Here is a 22,255-nt window from a genome sequence, read left to right as displayed (position 1 = left end):
ATAGGATTTCTGCAAAGTTGTAGTAGGATATTAATTTTCATTCTCTATTGGGCTAAGAAAATGTTTGATCAACATAATATTACCATAAACCTTCATATACATCTTCATATATCTATTTTATAAGATTTTATTTCATTTTGTTGTGCTCATCAAACAAAAGTTTAGAGTTCATCTGGCTCAAGCTCCTCATTTCACAGATGGGAAAACTGAGGCTCAGAACCAGGCAGCCAAAAAGCCTCAGCGTCCCGATGGCTTCATCGTCAGGCGAGTTTCCTATGAAACAGACCCAGGCTTTCATTCTGAGACCAGCTTCATAATAAGGCCCTTTTGTGTAACAATGTCTGAGTGCCCACAATAATATTGTTTTAGATCTAAAAGAAACTAATTAATTTCCATCAAAAGCATAATGAATTAAAAAATCAGGTGTGCTGAAAAATGAATTAAAACTAATGAAGGAATATCACCAATTGAAAACAGGTTGACTTTAGTTAATTTGAGGAAGAAAGAGTCAAGTCCTATTTTGCGGGTGATAGGAATGTAACAATTTCTTCTCCATAGTAAGAGCTCCTTTTTCAAATAGCTAGCGACAAAGTTAATAAATCATATCCCATCTGCAGTTACAAAATAGAGAATCCGAAGCCAGGAGATTCAACTTGGCTTCAAATCCCACTCACATAGACAAAGCCATGTGAGTCTACGTTATGCAGAATTCTGAAGCTAATATAAGTTTACAAACAGTTGAGGAAAGTGGTTCTTGTTTTCCCTTTTGAGTTACCACGAGGCTTCATGCTACAGCTTAAGATTGGTGTCCATGCCTGTGAGTTCAGCAAAGCCCAGGGTTCCATAAATCAGGGCCCCGAGAAAGAGCTGTGCTGCCCTGAGCCGCTGACATTCCTCTAATGCTAAGCGGCCACAGGCTCTTCATTACACATGGGTTTTCCTAAGTCCAGACGGACTGACGGGCGTTAGGCAGTTGTTCAATGCACTTTCGCCAAATGAGAATGTGCGTTGAGCCACCGTCTTCTCCTTGGCCGATACATGTTCTTCTGGGAATCCTTTCCTAAAGAGACCATTGTGGTGAACGCTGGAGCCACAGATGTCATAGTAAATGTCTTGACTCTGTGGAGACACTGTCTTCTCTTTGCTCTACAGATTCAGATAGCTCTGCCCTAGCCTGGGTTCAGCATTATCAGGAAGCGGAATTCCCGTGAAGAAGAAGTGAGGGAGAAAAGGAGCACAACCCTCCCACTCTTAGCCAGCATTTTAGCTGGTCTAGGGTGCTGGTGTCATGGTACCCCAGACCCTTCTTAAAGTGTTTAGTGGACTCACGATTGTTCGTCACAACTGTCCACTGACAGTATACCAGTGTGGGAGCACCATGGGACACCTGGCGAGTCACCTGGGTTCCAGACAGATTTCTTCTGCTCCACTGTATAGCAGCAACCCAGGCACCTCGTGGTCACTGGCACCAATTCACCATGCCAGTACAGCGACCTAGTACCCATGCCAGTACAGTGACCCAGTACCCACGCCAGCACAGTGACCCAGTACCCATGCCAATACAGTGATCCACTACCCATACCAGCACAGTGACCCAGTACCCAGGCCAGTACGGTGACTTCTTTGACTGTTGGTCCAGGGCACCCTTGGGTATTCTCCAGTGGAGGCATCATCTCCCGGGATGCAGGACTCTAACACAGCAGAGCTTAAGGTCTGGGGAGAGGAAGGATAACTCCACAACTGGGCCAGTGGGGATGGTGGTGCAAGTACTGCTCACATCTCTGCCCACTGAAGGGACTTCCATTACCCCTGGTGATTCAGGCCAGCCCTGGGAAGGACAGTATTGAACAACTACATTTTTAGCTGCCACCAACATGTCATTCTGACCCATCTGTGAGTTAGTCCCAAGTTTTTAGTTTCCTGCCAGCTGGTTAAAAGGATCCCTTACCCCTGAGGCTACAGCCATGGAGGTGGAGGAGAGGTGTCAGTACTAAAGAGGTGGGTGACATCAGAGTAGTCTGAGGCCACCTGTCATGTAATTTGCTTCTTTATTTCCACCACCCAATGGGTCGGTCTTGCATCTGGCCATCCTTATGACTTGGAGAATCTGATAACACCTGGTGCAGTGGCTCACTCTTGCAATTCCAGCACTTTGGGAGGCTGAGGTAGGTGGATCACCTGAGGTCAGGAGTTCGAGACCAGCCTGACCAACATAGTGAAACCCCATCTCTATTAAGAATACAAAAATTAGCCAGGCATGGTGGCGGGCACCTATAATCCCAGCTACTTGGGAGGCTGAGAAGAATCGCTTGAACCCAGGAGGCGAAGGTTGCAGTGAGCCGAGATTGCGCCACTGCACTCTAGCCTGGGTGACAGAGCAAAACTCCGTCTCAAAAAAAAAAAGAAAAAGAGAAAAAAATAATCTGATAATACTTGACCTAAGGTGGGCAGTTCTGGTTCTAGCCACCTGGAGCTCAGTGTCTACTGGGGCCCAGAAACTCATTAGCGCAAGATGTTAGTCCTTCTCAAATAATACGCAGTTCTGTGCTGCCAAGCAAATGGTTTTGCTCCAGAACTCCTGGGCCCTGAGCTGCAACTCTGCAACGGGGCTTGCACTGACTCACACAGAATCATTATCCAAAGGATGCCTCCAGCACCATCCGTTCTGCTGGATCAAACAATGCAAACAGCTGCGAAGTTGTCCTTGGATCCACCTGACAGCCCTCTCTGGGTCTCGGCCCCCCTCAACACTAACAGCCTTCTGGATCACCTGATACATGGGTAGGTGCAGTGCCCAAGGGCTGTACATGCATGTGGTACGAGGAAAGAGGCAAGGCACCGTCAGCTCACTCCTGTGTAAAACTGGTCACACATTCGAGACCCACTGCAAAACGGGCATCCCTGGGATTGGAGACAAGTGAGGCTGTGATGAGGGAGCTCATCACATGCAGCAGCTCTCTCATGAAGTGGGGCCTCTTGGTAATAACACATCCCCAGCCACTCCCTAAATTAACTGGAGGCTCAGAGCCATCTGAAGTCGATGTGGATTCTCTCTAGGGTGGTCCTTCTCAAATTTTAGTGAGGGAGAGCTTGATAAAACACAGATTCCTGGACCCCACTCCCAGAGGTCCCGATCCCTAGGTCTGGCATGGGTCCTAAGACTTTTCATGTCTAATGTGAATCCAAGTCAGGCGAGGCTCGCGATTCTCGGATCATACTGCGAGTAGCTCTGCCATAAACCTTCTGAGTAGCACAACTCGAGAACTCTGCTACCCAGCGTAGTCCGTGACCAGAGTTGTCCGTGAACCGCAGTATCAGCATCACCTGGGAGCTTGTTGGAAATCTTGGTTTTTTAAAACTTTAACGTGCATATGAATCACCTAAATATCTTGTTAAGATGCAGGATTTGATTCAGGAGGGCTGACATGGAGCCCCAAATTCTGCATTTCTAACAAGTTCCCAGGATGATGCTGATAGTACTAGCCCAAGGACCACTCTGTGAGTTTAGTCCGATAATTCACAACCCTGGCTGTGTATTAAAATCACCTGAGGACTAAAACAAAGTCCTGACCCAGCCCAGGTGATTTTCATGGGCATGTAGCATTAGAAAAAACAGTGTTAGATATTTAAAAGATTTTTGTTTTGTCTTTTCCTATTTCTTGATGATTATTGTTAAATATATTGGCCCAACATGTTCTCTTCTCCCCCTCCTCTTCCGCTCCTCCCACTCTGTTTCAACTTTTGGTTTAAAATTACGCATATGCCTCTTATTACCACTTTCACTGAACATGGCCTTCAGATATTTTTGCCCAGGTACTCCATAAAAATTTTGAAAAACGATGTCCCTCTCACATATTTTAAGTTTACATTTAAGTGTTTTAATTTCTAGTGTACTGTAAAATTTTAGGTCACTCTTTTCTATCATACGGAGGGACCCAGAGACCACTTTGATTTGATACCTACCAATGACCATTTAAAAATCTCCTTTTTAACAACTGCAAATTTTACATCATTCCTTCTTCTCCTTCAATTCAGAGTTTTATTTGATGTAATATATATTAAGCTTGAAAGCTTTATCACTGTACTACACTTCTTTATAGCAAAAAGACAGATATTACAATAATTTTTAAAATTTCCTGTGACTCTAAAACTAAATGTTAAAAAAACTGGTTTGATTATCCATCATAATTGCTATTCACAATTAATCAAACCATCACACATCATTATACATTGTGACAAATAATTATTGAATAAGAAAAGTAAAATTTACTGGAAATACATCTCAATGAGATAAATGGGAATGTTCTTTTTTTAATTAGTTCATATATTCATGGATGGATATTACTTCTAGGTAAATTGAAAAAGTGTTCAGCATCAATTTTATTTCTATTTTTTTGTTTTTATAAATGTATGCATGGAGAAAACTTATTTTCATAAATAAACAGATGGGAAGGAAGGAGTTTTAACAGTTTTAACAATTTCACCCAATTCCTCGACAGCATTCTGTTATGCCCATCGTCACTCAGTGATTTATCATCAAACATTATTTTTAATGATCTATTGGCTGACAACTTGATTGGGTTCACCTTCAATTCTCTTGAAAACCAAGAATTCTAAGCTCTCTGGCTCGCAAGGGGATTTCTTACCCACTTATTAAAGCCATCCACTTTCTCAATACCGACCCTAATGTTTGAAATTCTCCTCTGTCTGGAAAGCAAAGGGTTCTACAGGCCAGAGCAATGCAACAAGGAAGAGGAGGGTTTGCTGGGAGGAATGCCTTTCCCTTGCAAGGAGGGAGAAAAGCAAGCGTGAAAGGACAGCTGAGAGGGAAGACCCCAGGCGTGTTCTCAGGCGGATCCATCCCAGGAAAGAGTACACATGGAAATGGAGGATGTGGATTCCCTGAGAACCATCCACTGCTGAATATCCCCTGGAGTCACTGAGGCCTGACGTGAAGATCCCTGCTCTAGATGAACACCATCTATTTGTAGGGAGCAGACAGGACGTGCCTCTGCCCAAACGAATGCCTTCAGGGCCCGAGCAGATAGGTAACATCAATAACTTGATGGGGCAGTCAGAGACACTCTCCTCCTTCATTGTCTAACTTATATTTCCCTGTTTTTGATAGAGACTTGGTTATATTAAAGGATTTCTCTACTATAAGAAAGACAAGAGTGCAAACATTTTGATCGACACCCACTGCATGGTCTCCTAGTGAGGGACACAGCTTGGAACTGCTGAGACCTGAGCAGGATGAGGTGATGCCCCAGTTGAGAGCAGCATCCCATCAGCTCCCTCAGATCGCTGTGTTCAGGGACGGGGGCTGGCAACACCGGACCATCAGTGTTTATGTGGAACCCTGAACTTCCAGAGGCTGGTCATAGACAGTTCTGTTTGCACCCTCTGCCAAGCAGGGCTTTGTTTCTATCTACAGTAGCAGGTGAGCTGCAAGTCTGTGAACAGAGAGGCACCTGCTGACTCCAGCCTTGTGCTCCCCTTTGCCAGGATGACCTCTTCCCAATGCCTCAGCTGACTGCCTCTTACTCAACCTTTAGGTCTCAGTTAAACATCGTCTCTCAGGGGAAACCTTCCAATTCCCACTGATGTGTCTGGGTGCCCCATGCTGGGTTTTCCAGAGCAAACTGTGCTTCTCTCAACCGTGGCTCAGGTACTTTCGCTTTAGTCACCCATCTAGATGACCATCTCACCCTTGACTTCCCTAACTTCCGTGCCTGGCACCGGGCATAACTGATGAATTAATCCGGATTGCTGTGTACAGCCATGCAGGCTATGTACCAACCATCTCTTCGGGGTCTCATTAATACAGACTACTATAGACCATGAATGCATGCAATGCAACAGCCTGGCAAATGACTAAGCGGCTATACTTGCTAAGGGAGTGTCTCCCAGCACACAGGGCTCCCCAACCATGGATCTTCAGTATACAAAATACAGGGAGGTATCCTGCTCATATGTGCAAGGGCTCTCAAGGGGACCTGGGAGTCCAAGTCTTCCTGGTCAGGACAAGCTCTTACCACTGTTAGATCACTCCAGGAGCGAATAAAGCTCAATGATGGGTCATGTGGCCAGTTTGACTAGGAATCCCTTTTGTATGCAAAATGCTATGCATTTTTATAAAACTGTCCTGCTCAATACAGTAGCATCCAGCCACATGAGGTTACCAAAATAAAAAAGTTTAAATTAAATTATAAATTCACTTCCTCAGTCACAACAGTAACATTTCAAGTATTCAATAGCTCCATGTAAAAATAGAGAACATTTCCATCATCACAGCAACTCCTATTGGATCATGGGTCATACCTCAAATGCTTCCAGAGCCAGCTAATGTAGAAGCAACAGGCCAAGATTCAGAAACATTTCTCTCCAAATGGGAAGTTTTCTAACACAAACACCCAACTTACCTCAAGAACGAAGAGGCAACCTCTCATCCAAAAACATCTGCCCCTAGAGTTGCTTTCAAAATGCAATATCTTAAGATTCCACAGTGAGTATTTTCCCAAAACAAAGAATAGAGCCCTCCACAGGAAAACTCAAGTCTCTTCCTTAGGAGAATGCACAGACTGTTTAAACTGGGGAAAGGGGTCCTAGCATGGCCACATATTTTAAGAGAAGCTGGAAAATGTTCTCCCAGCTGTTAAATATTGGCTCATGTATTTTTAAGGTATTGTGTGGGCTAAATAAAACACAAGGAGCAAATCCAGGCCACAAATGTCTAGTCGGGTCTTCTGATCTAGAGAAATACTGTACTTTAGGAAAGAAAATGCAATAGGAATAAGAAATGTGTAAGTCGTTATGGACTGAGCTGTAAAAAAATTACTATGTTAAAGCCCTAACCTGTATTGTGACTGTATTTGAAGACAGGGCCCTTAAGGAAGTGACTCAGGTTAAATGAGATCATGCGGTGTCTCTAACACAAGAGGACAGGGGTCCTTATAAGAAGCGGAAGAGACACCAGAGCTCTCTAAAGCTCGCCTCCCTTCCTGCACCCCCAATGCCCAGAGAGGCCACGTGAGGATCAGTGGAAAGGTGGCTCTCTAAGAGCCAGGAAGGGAGGCCCCAACGAGACACCAACCTGGCTGGCAAAGCTGGTTTCATCTTGGACTTCCAGTTTTCAGAACTGAGAAAATGAACATCTGTTGTTTAAGTCACCCAGTCTCCTAAGGAAGAGACTTGAGTTTTCCTGTGGAGGGTCTATTCTTTGTTTTGGGAAAATACTCATTGTGGAATTTTAAGGTATTGCATATTGAAAGCAATGTGAGGGGCAGATGTTTTTGGATGAGAGGTTGCCTCTTTGTTCTTAAGTTGGGTGTTTGTGTTAGAAAACTTCCCATTTGGAGAGAAATGTTTCTGAATCTTAGCCTGTTGCTTCTACATGTTCCCTTAGAACATCCCAAACCATATTGAAAGTGCTTGTTTGTCTTTTGTTTCCACCAACCAAAGCTCTGATAGTAGAAACCAGTCTGCCTCAATCATGATATCCTCAATGCCTATGATGCTTAGTGAACACTCAGTAAATACATCTTGAGTCAATGAATTAATGAATGGGTATCTTGTACAGCAACTCAAACTGACTAATGCCGTACTTTTTACTCACTCGTACATTGAAGTTATGTATATGTGTATAAGTTATATATGTGACTTATACATAAGTTATAAGGATATCAGTTTTCACAATTGCATATTGAATGGCTTGGAGATGCAGAACTAATATTTATAGCTCATTTGTAAAGCAACTCATTTTAACACTACAGTTTGACATGTTGAGCTTGCAAAACATGAACACGAGTGTTATTCCACGTGGCTCATTCAGTTTGCCCACAAAGGGCCCTGCTCATGAGACTAATGAGGCCTGTGGCTTGAAAGCTGTAATTTGACTGATTTGTTCTATTTATAACACAGTCCATCTCTGAGAAATCTCCCATATTTTCTCTATATAAGCCTATACCAATACTCATATAAATAAGAGCTATTGTGAAGTCTTTCCAAGGAAGCACTTCTTCAGCCTACAATCTTGTGTGTCTTGACCTTACTGTGTCTTTATCAATCCTGTCTTTAAAACAGGCAAAGGTTTGAAAATGTAAGTGGCAGAAACTCAGGATGTGTGGGAAAATTACTATTCCCTGACTTAGAACATCCCAATCCATATTGAAATTGCTTGTTTGTCTTTTGATTCCACCAACAAAAGCTCTGAGAGTAGAAACCAGTCTGCTTCAATCATGATATCCTCAATGCCTATAATGCTTAGTGAACACTCAGTAAATACATCTTGAGTCAATGAATTAATGAATGCATTTCTGAATGCACAGATGGACAGAGAGATGAATATTCTTCCAGAAGCAGGGACTTATGCTAAGAGTTCAGGATAGGATAGGTAAGAGCTGAAAACATAGAAGGGGGGTGAGAGGACTTCCTAGGGAACTTAGGAGAAAAAATAGCTTTGGGATAGAAAGTATACGGAGGCAGGTTAATTTAATTTCCAAGTGAAAGTGTCCAGCAACGTAGTAAAGCCCATCTCACGGCACACTGTCCCTGATATTAGGTTCAACAGGGCAAGGTTTAGCCACTGTATCCAGAAGCAGCATGATTAATTTGATGAGTAAGACTGAGACAAAGAGGGACGCCCGCAACCAGCAGGTCAAATGCAGTCATAAAACAGAAGAAACATGAGTCGATAATTGAGGAAATGCATGTGGACACGCCTTCTATCTTCGGGCACCTTACTAAGTCAGACAAAGAAGCTCAAACATCAGAAGATATCAGAATTTTAGAGTCAGAGTGACCTTCAAGTCACTTGTCCTACTTTATACTTACCAAAGATTGAATGCCCAGGCTGCTATTCAGGCCTAGAGATAACATTTGATCAACTGTGATATGTGAAGTCTCAAGAGTCTTGAGTGCGATCTCCAAGGAGAAAAAGGAGAGGCAGAAAAACAAAGGAAAACATTGCACCAAAGGACTAAAGGCTGGAGAATCCTCACATCTTGGGACGAGGAGAGCCAAAAGGAGCAATAAACACCAAAAGAAAAGGAGCTACAGGAAGAACAAGCCGGTGAGCAGCATCCTCAGATGCCAGGGACGGAGAGGGGACCAGGAAAGGGAGGGTAAAAAGGCCTCACTTCACAGGCTTCCATGCACTCACTGGACAAGTATTTACTGAGCCCTTATTACTCGTCATGCACTCTTCCCGTGGCTTGCGGAAATAAGCAAAAATCCCTATCCTCGCGGAACTTACGTTCTAGTGGGTGATGAAAAACAATTATCAATAAGGATTCTCTTGGAATGGGGTTGTATTAAATGCAGAGTCTTCCTGGGGGGCACTGATATTTATAACAAGGGAGCAAATGAAAGGACGGTGGTTATGGCAGTTCCCGGTCATAGACAGTGCTGTTCTACCCCAACCCCCTTTTCCTAATCATCTCACTGCTGGTGCATCCCTCCATACGTGAAAGAAAAGATTTTCAGAGTTCTGCTAACAAAGCTGTTCCAGCATCGGAAGCAGAATTCATCGTTCCCTTGCCTGTGCTTCGGAAGCTTCTTCTACACAACTCCCTTTCGTGTGGCATTTAACACACTGTGTTCCTGTCATTTCCTGGTGCGCCAGCCTCTCCTGGCAAAAGTGAGCTCAGGGAAGGCAGGAACCACATGTCATATTCACCAAGTGTCCTCGGCATCAAGCGTAATGCCTGATAAGTATCAGACGCTCAGCGTTTTCTGAGCGGAATAGCAGAACTGTAGTCTGAGTGTTTAAAGGGCAGGGAGTTGGGGAGAATCATACACTTAGGGACAGAAGTGAGACAGAGACTCTAAAAGCCAAAGAAAATCATACTTCAACCCTTCCCTTGGTTCTTCTACATAGACATTGAAAATGGTGTAGGCTGATGCCAGTATGCCAGCTGTTTCCCTCTATAATAAGTTTACTCTTATATGCATCCCTCAGTATCCTTCCAGGTTGAGATGATATTCAAAATCTGTAGTAACATGGCAGGGTCACTAGCCAATCAAAATGGAGGCCAGTGGGGGCAACATGGCTTAATATCCATCCTTCAAGTGCAAACTGAAGAGGTGAATAGGATCCAGGTCATCTAATGCCAGGCTAGGGTTCAAGTAGAACTGCTTCCTAGATTTTCATCAAGAACATGCTGTCATGGTTTTTACAAACACTGTAAGTAAAATGAACAAAGAAACAAAAGACTCAGAATACTGCCTATTCGCTTCATACATTTTCAAATATGATGGTACCATTTTTGCATGTGGCATTTTCTCAGTTCAAGACAAGTGAAGTTTTCTTGAGTAGGCTAACGAAGTATGAAACTCCTTAAGCTTTCGGAAATGAACCAATCACCAAAGGGCAACCTATGCATATGGTTTCTATTCCTACATCATTCTGACTAATGAGGATATAAGTCTCTGATATATATAAATCTGATATAAATTCCATTTCTTTACATCCCAATGTTTTAAGGATTAGAAAGGAAGAAGTTTGAATTCTGGAGTACACTTGTGCTGAAAACTTTCCCAAATGAAAGCAAGCCTTTGTGAAATTCAACCCTGTCTGAATTAATAGAACCACAGAGTGACATCCTGTTGGAGAAAGAGAAGGGCATTTAATACCAGACATGGCCGTTAATGTCAGATGGGACACACCTCAACAAAATACATCATCAGTGAAACAGCAAACTACCGCACGGGGCCAGCCGGATGCTCGCCATTACTGACTTATGTCAGCTCTGACTCCTACTCTTTAAGTTCGACTTAGGAACTAAAATGGAAAAGCCTTCATTCTTTTAAGAGCTTCTCTAGAGTTCCGCACTTCCAGTTTTGACATTTGTATCTTCCTCCCTAGAAAAACCACAAAACCGTTATAGCCTTCACACTTCCCAGATGGTCATGCAGGCCTAATACTGAGGTGAGCTAGGGAATTCCCAGCTCACATTTTTATGATGCTCTAAAACTACATAAAATAATATCTTTGGTATCCGTCTCAAAAAGCTACACTTGCTAGTTATTCCTGGGCAAAATAACAGTTTACACTGACAAGCAGAGGTCACAGGCTTTCTTATACTTTCCTAAGACCCTCTCAGCCAAACATAGAGGTATACTAGATTGGAAGGAACTAATTTTGTGCTAAACAGGGTATTCTTCAAGATCATAAAAGGTAAAGGGGTGCAGGCAGAATAATTACCTGAAATAACAAAGAATCAGAGAGAGAGACTATTGCGAAGAACTCACTAATTAGAACACACAGAAAGAATCTACATCTCCAGATAAATTTCTGGTTCCTATTATTTCTGATATAAATTCCATTTCTTTACATCTCAGATACGAAGTGTTCTTGGAAAAGCAGGGAATATAGCACTCTGGATTTGCTAATGGTCTTCAGCATTGTTAAGTGGCCTTTCACTTTAACAGATACTTTACCTGATTTTCTGTGGGCTTGATTTAATATTCTCAAACACATTGTAAAGAACTACAATTTTAATTACCTGCTGTAATTGCCTTCTACAAGAGCCAAAAGAACATCGTTTACAATGAACAGTAATAAAACATTATGACTAAGTGGTAAAGGTGGAGTTGAACTGCTACCAAAAGGTGACCAATCGTTAGGCTGCATTCACTACAGCAGCAGCCAGATTAAGAAATTACAACATGATTTTAAAAATCAAAAACAGTTCTGCGATATAAATCATCTCAATAAGTAAAATGGTGAAAGTCTCTTTGGGGAAAAGACAAACCTGGGTTCAAAACTAACCCACGTAATCAACTGCATAAGATTAGTGAAAGTAACTTGTTGCTTTGATTTGTTACCTCATCTGCAAAAAGGGGATAATACTGACCTTATGGCCTCTTGTTTATTAAAAACGATGATTAAATGGTGGTTATTATGATTATTATATTATTATTTTAAGAGACAGGGTCTTGCTGTGTTGCCCAGGCTGGAGTACAGTGGTGTGATCTCAGCTCACTGCAGCCTTGACCTCCCTGGCTCAAGTGATCCTCCTACCTCACCCTTCTGAGCAGCTGGGGCCACAGGTATGCACTACCACACCTGGCACGTTTTTTTTGTTTTTGTTGTTAAAGACAGAGTCTCCCTGTGTTGCCCAGACTGGTCTTGAACTCCTGGGCTCGAGCAATGCTCCTGCCTCAGCCTCCCAAAGCACTGGGCATGAGTCAACATGCCCGGGTGATTAATTTTTTTTTTAATGAGATACGATATTTACATACAGGGCATACAGCAGACATCCAATGAACAGCTGTTGTTACTATTACTACAATAAGCCTTCATTATGCTTTGAACCAAATCACATCTTTCTGTCCTTAAAATTGGAAACTGAAGTTAAACCATAGGATATCAGGCCTACACTCAGCAAAAATACCATGTTATGATTGAAGAGGTTGGTACCACTCTAGGTGCTCCCTTTGAATCAGAAAATAATATATTTTCATTTTTCTGAAAGAGGAGATATGAAAAGACAATTTAGCCTAGCAACTCACACAATCTGGATTTTGAAAACCTTAAGAATTCTGAAGGAAGGGAAATTAAACAGGTGTTTCTTAATTAGCAGCTTCAGAATACTGAACTCATTCGTAAAAGGAAAAATCATACTGGGAAGGTACGAGTAGAACCATTTAGTCTAGAAAGTAACTAAAAGCTGAACCCCAGGAAATTCACCAGAATCATCGCTGTATTCAACTACTGAGTAAATACAGTTTTTCTAAGAAAAGTACATTTACAACTAGCAACTTGTTCTATGTGGTCTCATCTCGGCCAATAACCATCACTTTGCTTAGGATTTTTCCAGACAAGCTGTGTAATGGATGTATGTCAGAGATTGTAAAATGACTGCAGGAAAAATTCAATTTTCCATCCCCCTTGTTTGTGCCCTCCAAAAATTCCTTATCTTTCATATCAATTACAGAGACAAGGAGAGTAGACAAAGTACTTCAATGACTATACATCTAGAGTGATAAGAGCTAGAAAGAAAATGCATAAGTTATAATCTTGGGTCACTCTCAATATATTACATACTCTGAAATGTTATGTTTACATAATATGATTCCACAATGAAATTATCTTCAATTCCCTATAAACTGAAATCAGGCATTCGCTGCTGGCTAAGTCTAAGAAATTAGGTTCCAAAATCAAAGGTAAAAATTGTTAGGCCAGGTGCAGTGGCTCACTCTTGTAATCCCAGCACTTTGGGAGGCCGAGACAGGACGACTGTTTGAGCCCGAGTTCAAGACCAGCGTGGGCAACAATGGGCAGATCCTGTCTCCACAAAAATTTTTTAAAAATTAGCCAAGTGTGGTGGTGTACACCTGCAGTCCCAGCTAATCAGGAGGCTGGGGTGGGAGGATCGCTTGAGCCCAGGAGGTTGAGACTGTGGTGAGCCATGAATGTGCCACTGCACTCCAGCCTGGGTGACAGAGCAAGACCCTGTCTCCAAAAACAAAACAAAACAAAACAAAATTAGGGTTACTTTAAGTTCTAGCCCCCAAACTGCTAAAATTAAAGAACTCTTATGCTTAAATATCTGAATATAATAATTTAAATTGAGACATTTAACAAGGGGACAGAAGGGAAGGTAGATTGGAGGAATTACTAACAATGAGCTATGTGGAGGAGTTTGTAAAAAATCCGATTAGGCAAATCACTACTGAATAATTTGTATCTTTCAATAATCGCAGCATAATTGGGAGACGTAAATGAATACTCATCGTCCGTCTGCTGAACCCAACTGGTCAGTTCTGCTTGGTGAATTAATTCTCCAAGTGCTTGCCTTACTCCCTGGGTGAAGTTTACTCACTGTGCAAAATCTGCCACAACAGTTCGATGTCAATATCTGGGAATTAGGGAGTGTAATCACGCACATCAGTCATATAAATCCACTGGGACAGATCATGTCTTACTTTATGTCCTATGTGCTGTCTAATGCATTACTGATAACAAAACAACCACTTTGTTATCAGAAATTGTGACTTATTGTTCTGATGCTCCATTAGTAAGCACTGACTCCAGTGCATCTCCCACTGCACCCTTGAGCCAAACCTGTGTTTGCTGTCCGCCCAAACGTGCCTCACTGGGGTTGCAAAAGGGTGCCAGCCTCAAAGCTGCTGAGCCACAGCACACTGCTGTTCTCTGGAATGAATGTTGATCGGGAGTGGTTTTGATATCAGAACAGAAGACTTCCTTTTTTAAAACAAAACCAAGCTCCTCTGAGGTCTGCACACACAGAGCTCTTCGCAGAGAGCCTTCCTGCTGGATGGCCTCCTCCCAAGTTTTGCCTTCTCCTTGGGCTTCTCTCTTGGACACGTTTTGACCTCAAGAGCACACCCAGCCTCCATGGTATATGTTGTTCTGCTTTCATTGGAGAAACGAGGGTTTTGGGAGGGGGACAAATAAACTTTGGCTTGAATCCTCAAACTTCCCATTGACTATTCTTGTGATCTGGGTCAATAATTTAACCTCTTAGAGCCTCAGTGTCCTCAGCTTTGAAACAGAGTTGATTGTTAACTCACAGGGCTGTCGTGGAATCTAAGAAGGAAAATATACGTGACGATATCTGTCAGGTCTCAAGACATGTTAGGGCCTTCTCCTCTCTGTATGCCCTTAGAGGGTCATCAACAGTACTCTCATGTGTGATTTATAATCACATCTGCATATAGCTTCAAACAGTTGTTGTTCCTAGATCACCTAAAACAATTTTGTAAAACTGTGTATCTTTCTTACATTTTAAGCTGACATCTACCATTTTTTCATCATAAATTTGAAGGACTAAAAAGAACATAATTTCTGGTATAGTTTAATGTTTTACTATTTCAGTATATTTTAATAAAACTACCGCAGCGCATCTATATGTATTCAAAGGAATCTAAATATTTGATAAGCACGTCTAAACATTTGATACACAGCATCACCCATTTAAAAAACACATGATTCAAAGAATTGTATTAATCATATCACAGCCTCTGAAAAAACTATGCGTATAAACTTCAATCTTGGTGGGGTTCAGTAGCTCACACCTGTAATCCCAGTGGTTTGGGAGGCCAAGGTGGGAGGATTATTTGAGGCCAGAAGTTTGAGACCAGCCTGGGTAACATAGCCAGACTGTCTCTACAAAAAAAAAGAAATTAAAAAATTAGCCAGGTATGGTGGTTCATGCCTGTAGTCCCAGCTACTCAAAAGGCTGAGGCAGCAAGACTGCTTGAGCCCAGAAGTTAGAGGCTGCAGTGAGCCATGATCTCACTACTGCACTCCAGTCCATGTGACAGAGTCCTTGTGTCAAAAAAACAAAAAAAAAAAAAAAAGAACAAAAAATTCTTAAAAAAATGTTTTTAACCATATGACTCGGGGGCAAACCAAACCAAAACAAACCTTCTCTTGGATTGAGTTATTGTTACAATTATTATTGACATTCAATTAATTTTTTAAAGTATTACAAATTTTGATGAATAGGTTTTATATTTTAAAAAACTAGAAATGCATCTCTCAATGACATGAGGAATAAAGTTTAATTCTAATCTTTTCTTTTTCATAGATAAAATTTCGTTCATATAAAGCAACAGATGAAAATGGAAGAAATTTTGTTATAGAATATCTCTCAATTTTTTAAATTCCTTCTAAGTTATATGCCAAAAGTCATATAGTAATTTATTTATTTATTATTATTATTTTTGTTTTTTTGAGAGTCTTGCTCCGTCGCCTTGGTTGGAGTGCAGTGGAGTGATCTCGGCTCACTGCAGCCTTCACTTCCCAGGTTCAATTCATTTTCCTGCCTCAGCCTCCTGAGTAGCTGGGATTACAGGAGCCCACCAGCACACCCAGTTATAATTTTTGTATTTTTAATAGAGATGGAGTTTCCATATTAGTTAGGCTGGTCTCAAACTCCTGACCTCAGGTGATCCGCCCACCTTGGCCTCCCAAAGTGCTGGGATTACAGGCGTGAGGCAATGCGCCCTGTTGTCATATAGTAATGTATTAGTTAGGACAGACGTGCTTTGTTCTAATAACAAATAAATGCTGAAATCTCACTGCTTATCATACCAAGGTTTGTTTCTTACTCATAACGAGTCCAATTCTGCTTGGGTGGCCCTCCCAGGCTATTCTTCCCCTGTACTGATTCAAATATCCAGACAGCTTCCATCTTGTGGCTCAATATGTGGCCTGGCCATGGTTGTCCCCAAAGGGGAGGGAGAGCATGAAGGTAACACATTGGCTCTTAAACACATGGCCTGAAAGTGACACTTTATTCCACTGACATGGCCCTGCACCTGCAAAGGGGCTAGAAATCTCTTCCGTCCTGAGAACAAGTGGACTGTGTTACAGTTAGTAATTATCAAGTTATTTGTAATGAAGTGTCAGCTGACAACACACGTAGGTCCCACCTCGTTTTGTAGACAGCAAAAGATTGAAAACACCTGATTTATAAAATCATTTATCTCTCAGTTATCAGAGTCTTTCACTTTCTCAATTCTGCCCCTGATATTTAGAATTCTCCCTTTGGTTGGCACCTGGGCATTTACACCCTCAGATAATTGCCCATGTTAAAGATTCAGGATGAGTAAGACACGAGCCTTCCATCTCGTTCGGAAAGAAAGGAGCAGTTGCAAAATTTGACCTCAGGCATCCTCAGATCCAGTTTTAGAATGTGAATATGAAAGGACTGAAAATAGGTTCTTTGGAAATTTTACATGCCTGCCTACGCCTTGGAAATCTATATGTATCCTGAGTGATACTCAGACCAGTGACTGCTGCTTTGGGAAACCGGGCATATTGAGCTTCCCCCATATGTGTTCAAACTTTGAGGGCAAATGATCATAGCTTAACCTAAGATTTAAGACAGATTAGATTTCCTAAGATTTAACAACAGTGAAATCAGGTTGAAATAAATCACACAGGGGAAAAGGGGACACCTTGGGATGGAAAGAGATGGGGATATGGTGAAGGAGGCATGAGTGGGCAATAGAAACCATCCGGTTTTGCCTTGTGGGGTGAGGAGAGAATGATGGTCTTTGTTGTGGTGAGTGAAGTCTTGCTGGGAGCCACCAGCTACACTCCTCTTCTAAAACTCATTCCCCAATCCATCCATTTGGGGCGCAGAAACGAAATATTAGACCTAGTATTTTAACTTATGTTTTCTCACCGAAAGCCCAAGAAGGAAACTAAGTTTCAATGTTATTTATTATGCAGGTTGAGTCTGTTGGTCAGGTGGCCCCAGGTGACACTCTGTACGCAAGCTATCCCAAGGAAGGGTCTGAAAATTCTCATTGTCAGAGAAGTGGACAGGATGCCCTCATAGGCATGGGATGCAGTTTCACCTTTGCCCGGAGAGGTGGATTTATGTATTTGTGTATTTCGTTTTATCTAAACTAACTCTCACAAAGTGGACAACTGAAGACGACGGCATTTCTGGGAAGAAAGCACAGATCTGAGTCACTCACAACACCAGCACAATCAGATGGCAACAAACGGCAGCAGGAACACTTGTGTCGTTAGTAGAAGCCACGTCGCCAAGAAGAAACAATTATCTGTAACCAGATGTCATAAGAATTTTTCCAAAAAACTAGATTGTATCAAGAAAATCAAGTAAAATATGGATTTCCATTCACAAAGTGCATATTGCGCCATGAGACGTCAAGTAAAGACGGAACGGAACCTTCATGATTAGCACTGCTGATTCCCGTCCTCTCTTCTGTCTGATGGTTAATGCTTAGAATTGATAAGTAACTAGGTGTTCATGCATAAGGAGTAAATGCTCAAGGCTTGTTTCCTGATGGTGTGTTTACGGAAAAGCATTAGGGACCATGGCCTAGACTTAGTTCTGTCCAACACCAGCTCAGGAGGCCAGGGCAGAGCATGCCTCACACTTCACTCCGTACAGCAGGTTCGATGCATGGCTAAATGATTAAACTCATGACTTGACTATAAAATAGACTTCCTATTTATGTTTCTGAAAAATTCTGGCAGTAAAGTGTCATACAATCTATAAAACTATGCTTGGTTCTAAATTGCTCATTTGTGATGTGGGGCTAGGCCCCAGATTGGTTTTTAGTAATATTTCAAACAGTTCCTATTGTTTTAGGAACCCGAGCCAAGTCAGAGGCCATCTGGAAGGCATCTGCCTGTTCCCCTCTCTCCCTTTAATGTTAACGGTACAAGGAAAATAGGAGAGAGTTGTACCTGGGCACACAAAAGCCATGTTTTACAGGGCAGTCCTCTGAAATGACTGTTCATGGACATTCTCAGGAATCCACTTTCAACTACTAACCCTACGTGAGTCTGCAGTTAAATTAGCATTATAGAGGACAAAAGAATGTTAAGTGGTCTTCAGAATTAAAAGCAAGGGTTTGTCAGCCTGAAGGAGGATCAGCTGAAATGATATCCTATCTGCAAATGTTGTTTGAAGAGGAGACATTAAAATGAAAGAGGTGAAAAAAACAGGAAGGAGAGAGGCAGTCATTTCTTTTTAATCCAAGCTTCATCCCTAGTAGAGAATCTCATTACATTGGACATTTTGAATATTGGATCAGAACTGATGGTATGTCTAAGGCATGTACAATGGCGTATAAACAATGACTGATTAACCACTGTATAGAATTCGTCTCATCGCCTGTGGCTTTTTTTTTTTTTTTTTTTTTTAGAGGAAGAAACTCTTATTCACATAGTAATTCAGTTCAGAAGTTCTGTTCCACAAAGGTTAACTCAACGTAAAATCTTCAAAGCAAAAGCCAAAAATAGGTTGACAGGTTCATAAAGCTTTCCCGGGTCTGACCTCGGAAGACACATCTACTCTCAGGCAGGCCCAAACCCTTCTTTTTCTGGTGTGCACCTGAGCAGTGGGAGCTGGCCATGAAAAATTCATGCAGGATGCTTCAACAGTCCCACCTATGTCCTTAACATCTGCTGGCTTCACATCACATTAAAACTTCAAAGTGGATCCACCCCTGGGATGGCAGCAAGCTCTCACCAGGGCAGCGGGGTGGAGAGTTCAGGGAAATCCTCTCCTTCCCTACAGGAATATCGGTTCAGAACATGCTGGAATTTATCTTCTTAACCACGCAAGAGGGGAGAAATGTTGAGAGATAATAATGCCATCTACTAAATATGCACTAAACAGCAGGCGGTACCATTATGGGACTGCATCTCAGTTCTAACAGTCATGCTTTCTTTAAAAAAAAATTTAAATCTAAAACCTATCTATCTTTTGCTTCCCATAAGCTTCAGGTGTAGCCACAGTATCTAGCAATTGAAAAGGGGTGACGTTTTTGAACTCTCAAGTACAAGGTTGTTGATGAAAATGTATTATTTCCTCCTGTTAGCTGGGTGACAGCGCATCACTTATTTAGATGTTTTGAGACAGGGCTAGACCTGGTTGCCGCTCCACTCTAACACGGTGCTGTCCTCAAGGAAGGAACGGATTATTACCACAACAGCAAACAAGAGGCGGGGCTGCATGACACTCCGATTTTAAACTAATTACAGCACAATCCACCAGGAATTTAATTACCAGTACCCGATCATCCCGATGGTGTTCACTACATAAAGGTTCCCTGCTTTATTCTCCCGACAGCAAGCAAAAATGTATCTTCATTAAATGATAATTGGCTGTAATATCTTTTGATTTTTCAGAAACGCTGGCCAGAAAGTTTTTACAAATTTTCCTCAATCTTGTGTGGTGTTTCCACAAAAGCCTACATCAGAAGAAAAAGATATCTAAGTCTGCAGAACACACTCTATCTTACTCCCAGTATCAATAGGTCTTGAGAATATCTAATTTCATAATAAATCTGGTGAAGAGACGCATCCTTCAATACATCACACCCTCACCAGGAGCAGGGTGGCCAGGTCCTGAACTGCAGTGTTCATTGCTTAGAGCCCTCACTGGATGCCAGAAAGAAGCACAATTAAAACAATTCTGGGGGATTCTGCAGATTAATCAAGACTTCTGACTTTTAGAGGTTTTCAAAATAAAACTTTTAGCAGAAAAAAAAACAAAAAAAAAAAACACAAAAAAACAAAAAAGCATAATTGGTTGCCATTTAACATTTACGTAAATCCCGTATGTCACCAGGAAGGTTCTCCTAAGAATTAAAATAAGGCAGTTTCCTCAATCTCCTTACTTCTCCCATTTTATCTGGCACTCATAAAAAGCAAAGAATTCATAAAGGAACAAAATGTAGGTTTTGTCCTAAGATTTAAAATAAGTCCATATCATCAACTGCCTTGTATCTCACTTTTTACACATTTTTACCTGGTGCCAATGAAAAGTTAAAAAATACATACAAAGGAACAAAATGCAACCCAGTTAATTATAATATTTATGAGTAGCTTTCAATATACTTTTCGGTCAGGGTAGAAACTGAAATTACTGAAAAAAATTTACATATTCCAATTATCTAACACCATGGTATTACGCTAGTACAGCGGTTTGCAAATTCACTGTACTCGCTTTATTTTCTGCTGGCCCTTACAGAGTAGGGAGGTAGGCAAGTACTAGGTACGGACTGTTTTATAACTTTGTGATGTTAAACAGTTTCAGTGGAATAATTCTTCTAACAGAGGAAGGCCAACTTCCTTGTTTCTGATGCAGAATTTCACCCCCTTTGACTCATTATTATCCTGGTAGTTATATTACAATTGAGTACAGATTCATATTTGCTAAACAAGATAAATGGCTCTACCTGTAAAGTTTGGAATCATTAAAATAATAACAATCTATTTGATAATACAATTTCCATTCTTTATCATAACCCTTGGAAAAAATCTTAATAAATCATCCTCATTTCTACTGTAATTCTCAATGCAGACACTCCTTTACGTCACAGTACAGCATGCACTGGGTTTTGTGAACCCCACCCCTAATCCACGTGCATCATTCTCCATGGCATCACAAAGACCCCACTCATCCTAAATCTGTGCCAAGTCTACGTTCTGCAGAGCGAGATTCAATTCCTCAAATTAAGGAGCTCAAGGCAGGATGACAGCACATCACGGCCACTTGGGACCAATTAGGCAGGCATCTGAGACCCCACTCAGTTAACTCCCACAGACGCCTGCACCCAGAGTTTGCTACAAAGATTCACCCAGGCAATTCTACTGGGCCTAAGGCAATTGTACCCCTCGAGGGCCATGTCAGGCAAATACTATCACTCCATCCCACATACTTTTCTTTTTTTTTTTTTTCTTTTTGAGATGGAATTTCATTCTTTCTGCCCAGGCTGGAGTGTAATGGCATGATCTCAGCTCACTGCAACCTCCACCTCCTAGTTTCAAGTGACTCTCCTGCCTCAGCCTCCCCTGTAGCTGGAATTACAGGTGCATACCACCATGCCTGCTAATTTTGCATTTTTTGTAGAGACAGGGTTTCACCATGTTGACCAGGCTGGTCTCGAACTCTTGACCTCAAGTAATATGCCTGCCTTGGCCTCCCAAATTGCTGGGATCACAGGTGTGAGCTACCATGCCTAGCCCCACATACTTTTCAAATCACTTGCAGGGGAAACGATTCCTTCAAGACAATTTTTAAAAAGATAAAATCCACTACTATACAAACAAATCAATATAATTCACTCATATGATATGATAATAATATTTTGAAATTTACCATCCGCCATGACTAGTTTCAACCCTATTTTCTCAACCGCATGACAATTTCATTTCATACCATGAAGCTTCATGCTGCAAACATCTGATGACAAGCCTTCTGATATGGATGTCTGAATCTAGATTAGTTCAGAGTTCCTGCTTTGGGTGATTTTCCCTTCTTTAGCAATTAACTCTTGCTAGTAGAATTTAAAGTCCAAACATGTAAAACTAAGTTTACTCAAACTAAAGTCCCCTCAAATAAAATCGACAAATACCCATGATTTGTGTGCATTGTCTTCAAGAATCAGGCTTTCAGTTAAATTAGGTGGAAAAAATGATCAACTGATTATGCTTAAATACTGCTAATTTTCGTACAACTTAATAGGTAGAATTTCTCAAAGATTTTCCTGTTAGATTAAAAGAATATAATGTATATCTAATCTAGTCCTGATTTAGGTTCATGGATACAATTCATTTAAATTGAAAGTTCTTTGTTGTTAGGAACAACATGCATTGACTGTGTATAAAAAGCAAATACTTTTTTTTTTAATTCCCAAAAAAGATCTGGCATTCAGAAGTACCACTGAGATTCACATTTTTCCGCATATCATTTTGAAGAAAGCAAGAGCCCTAAAGCTCTCCGAACTATTG

The 22,255-nt window shown here is 41.4% G+C and overlaps 1 protein-coding gene across 1 annotated transcript in view; it reads right to left on the bottom strand.

Moving 5' to 3' along the window:
• Positions 1 to 22,255, bottom strand: part of SDK1 (sidekick cell adhesion molecule 1) — a 967,749-nt gene that overhangs the window by 425,024 nt on the left and 520,470 nt on the right. The gene's annotated exons all lie outside the window — the stretch shown is intronic.

Source organism: Homo sapiens, chromosome 7 (genome assembly GCF_000001405.40).
Source record: "Homo sapiens chromosome 7, GRCh38.p14 Primary Assembly".
NCBI lineage: Eukaryota > Metazoa > Chordata > Mammalia > Primates > Hominidae > Homo > Homo sapiens.
This window is presented reverse-complemented; position numbering and strand designations above follow the sequence as displayed.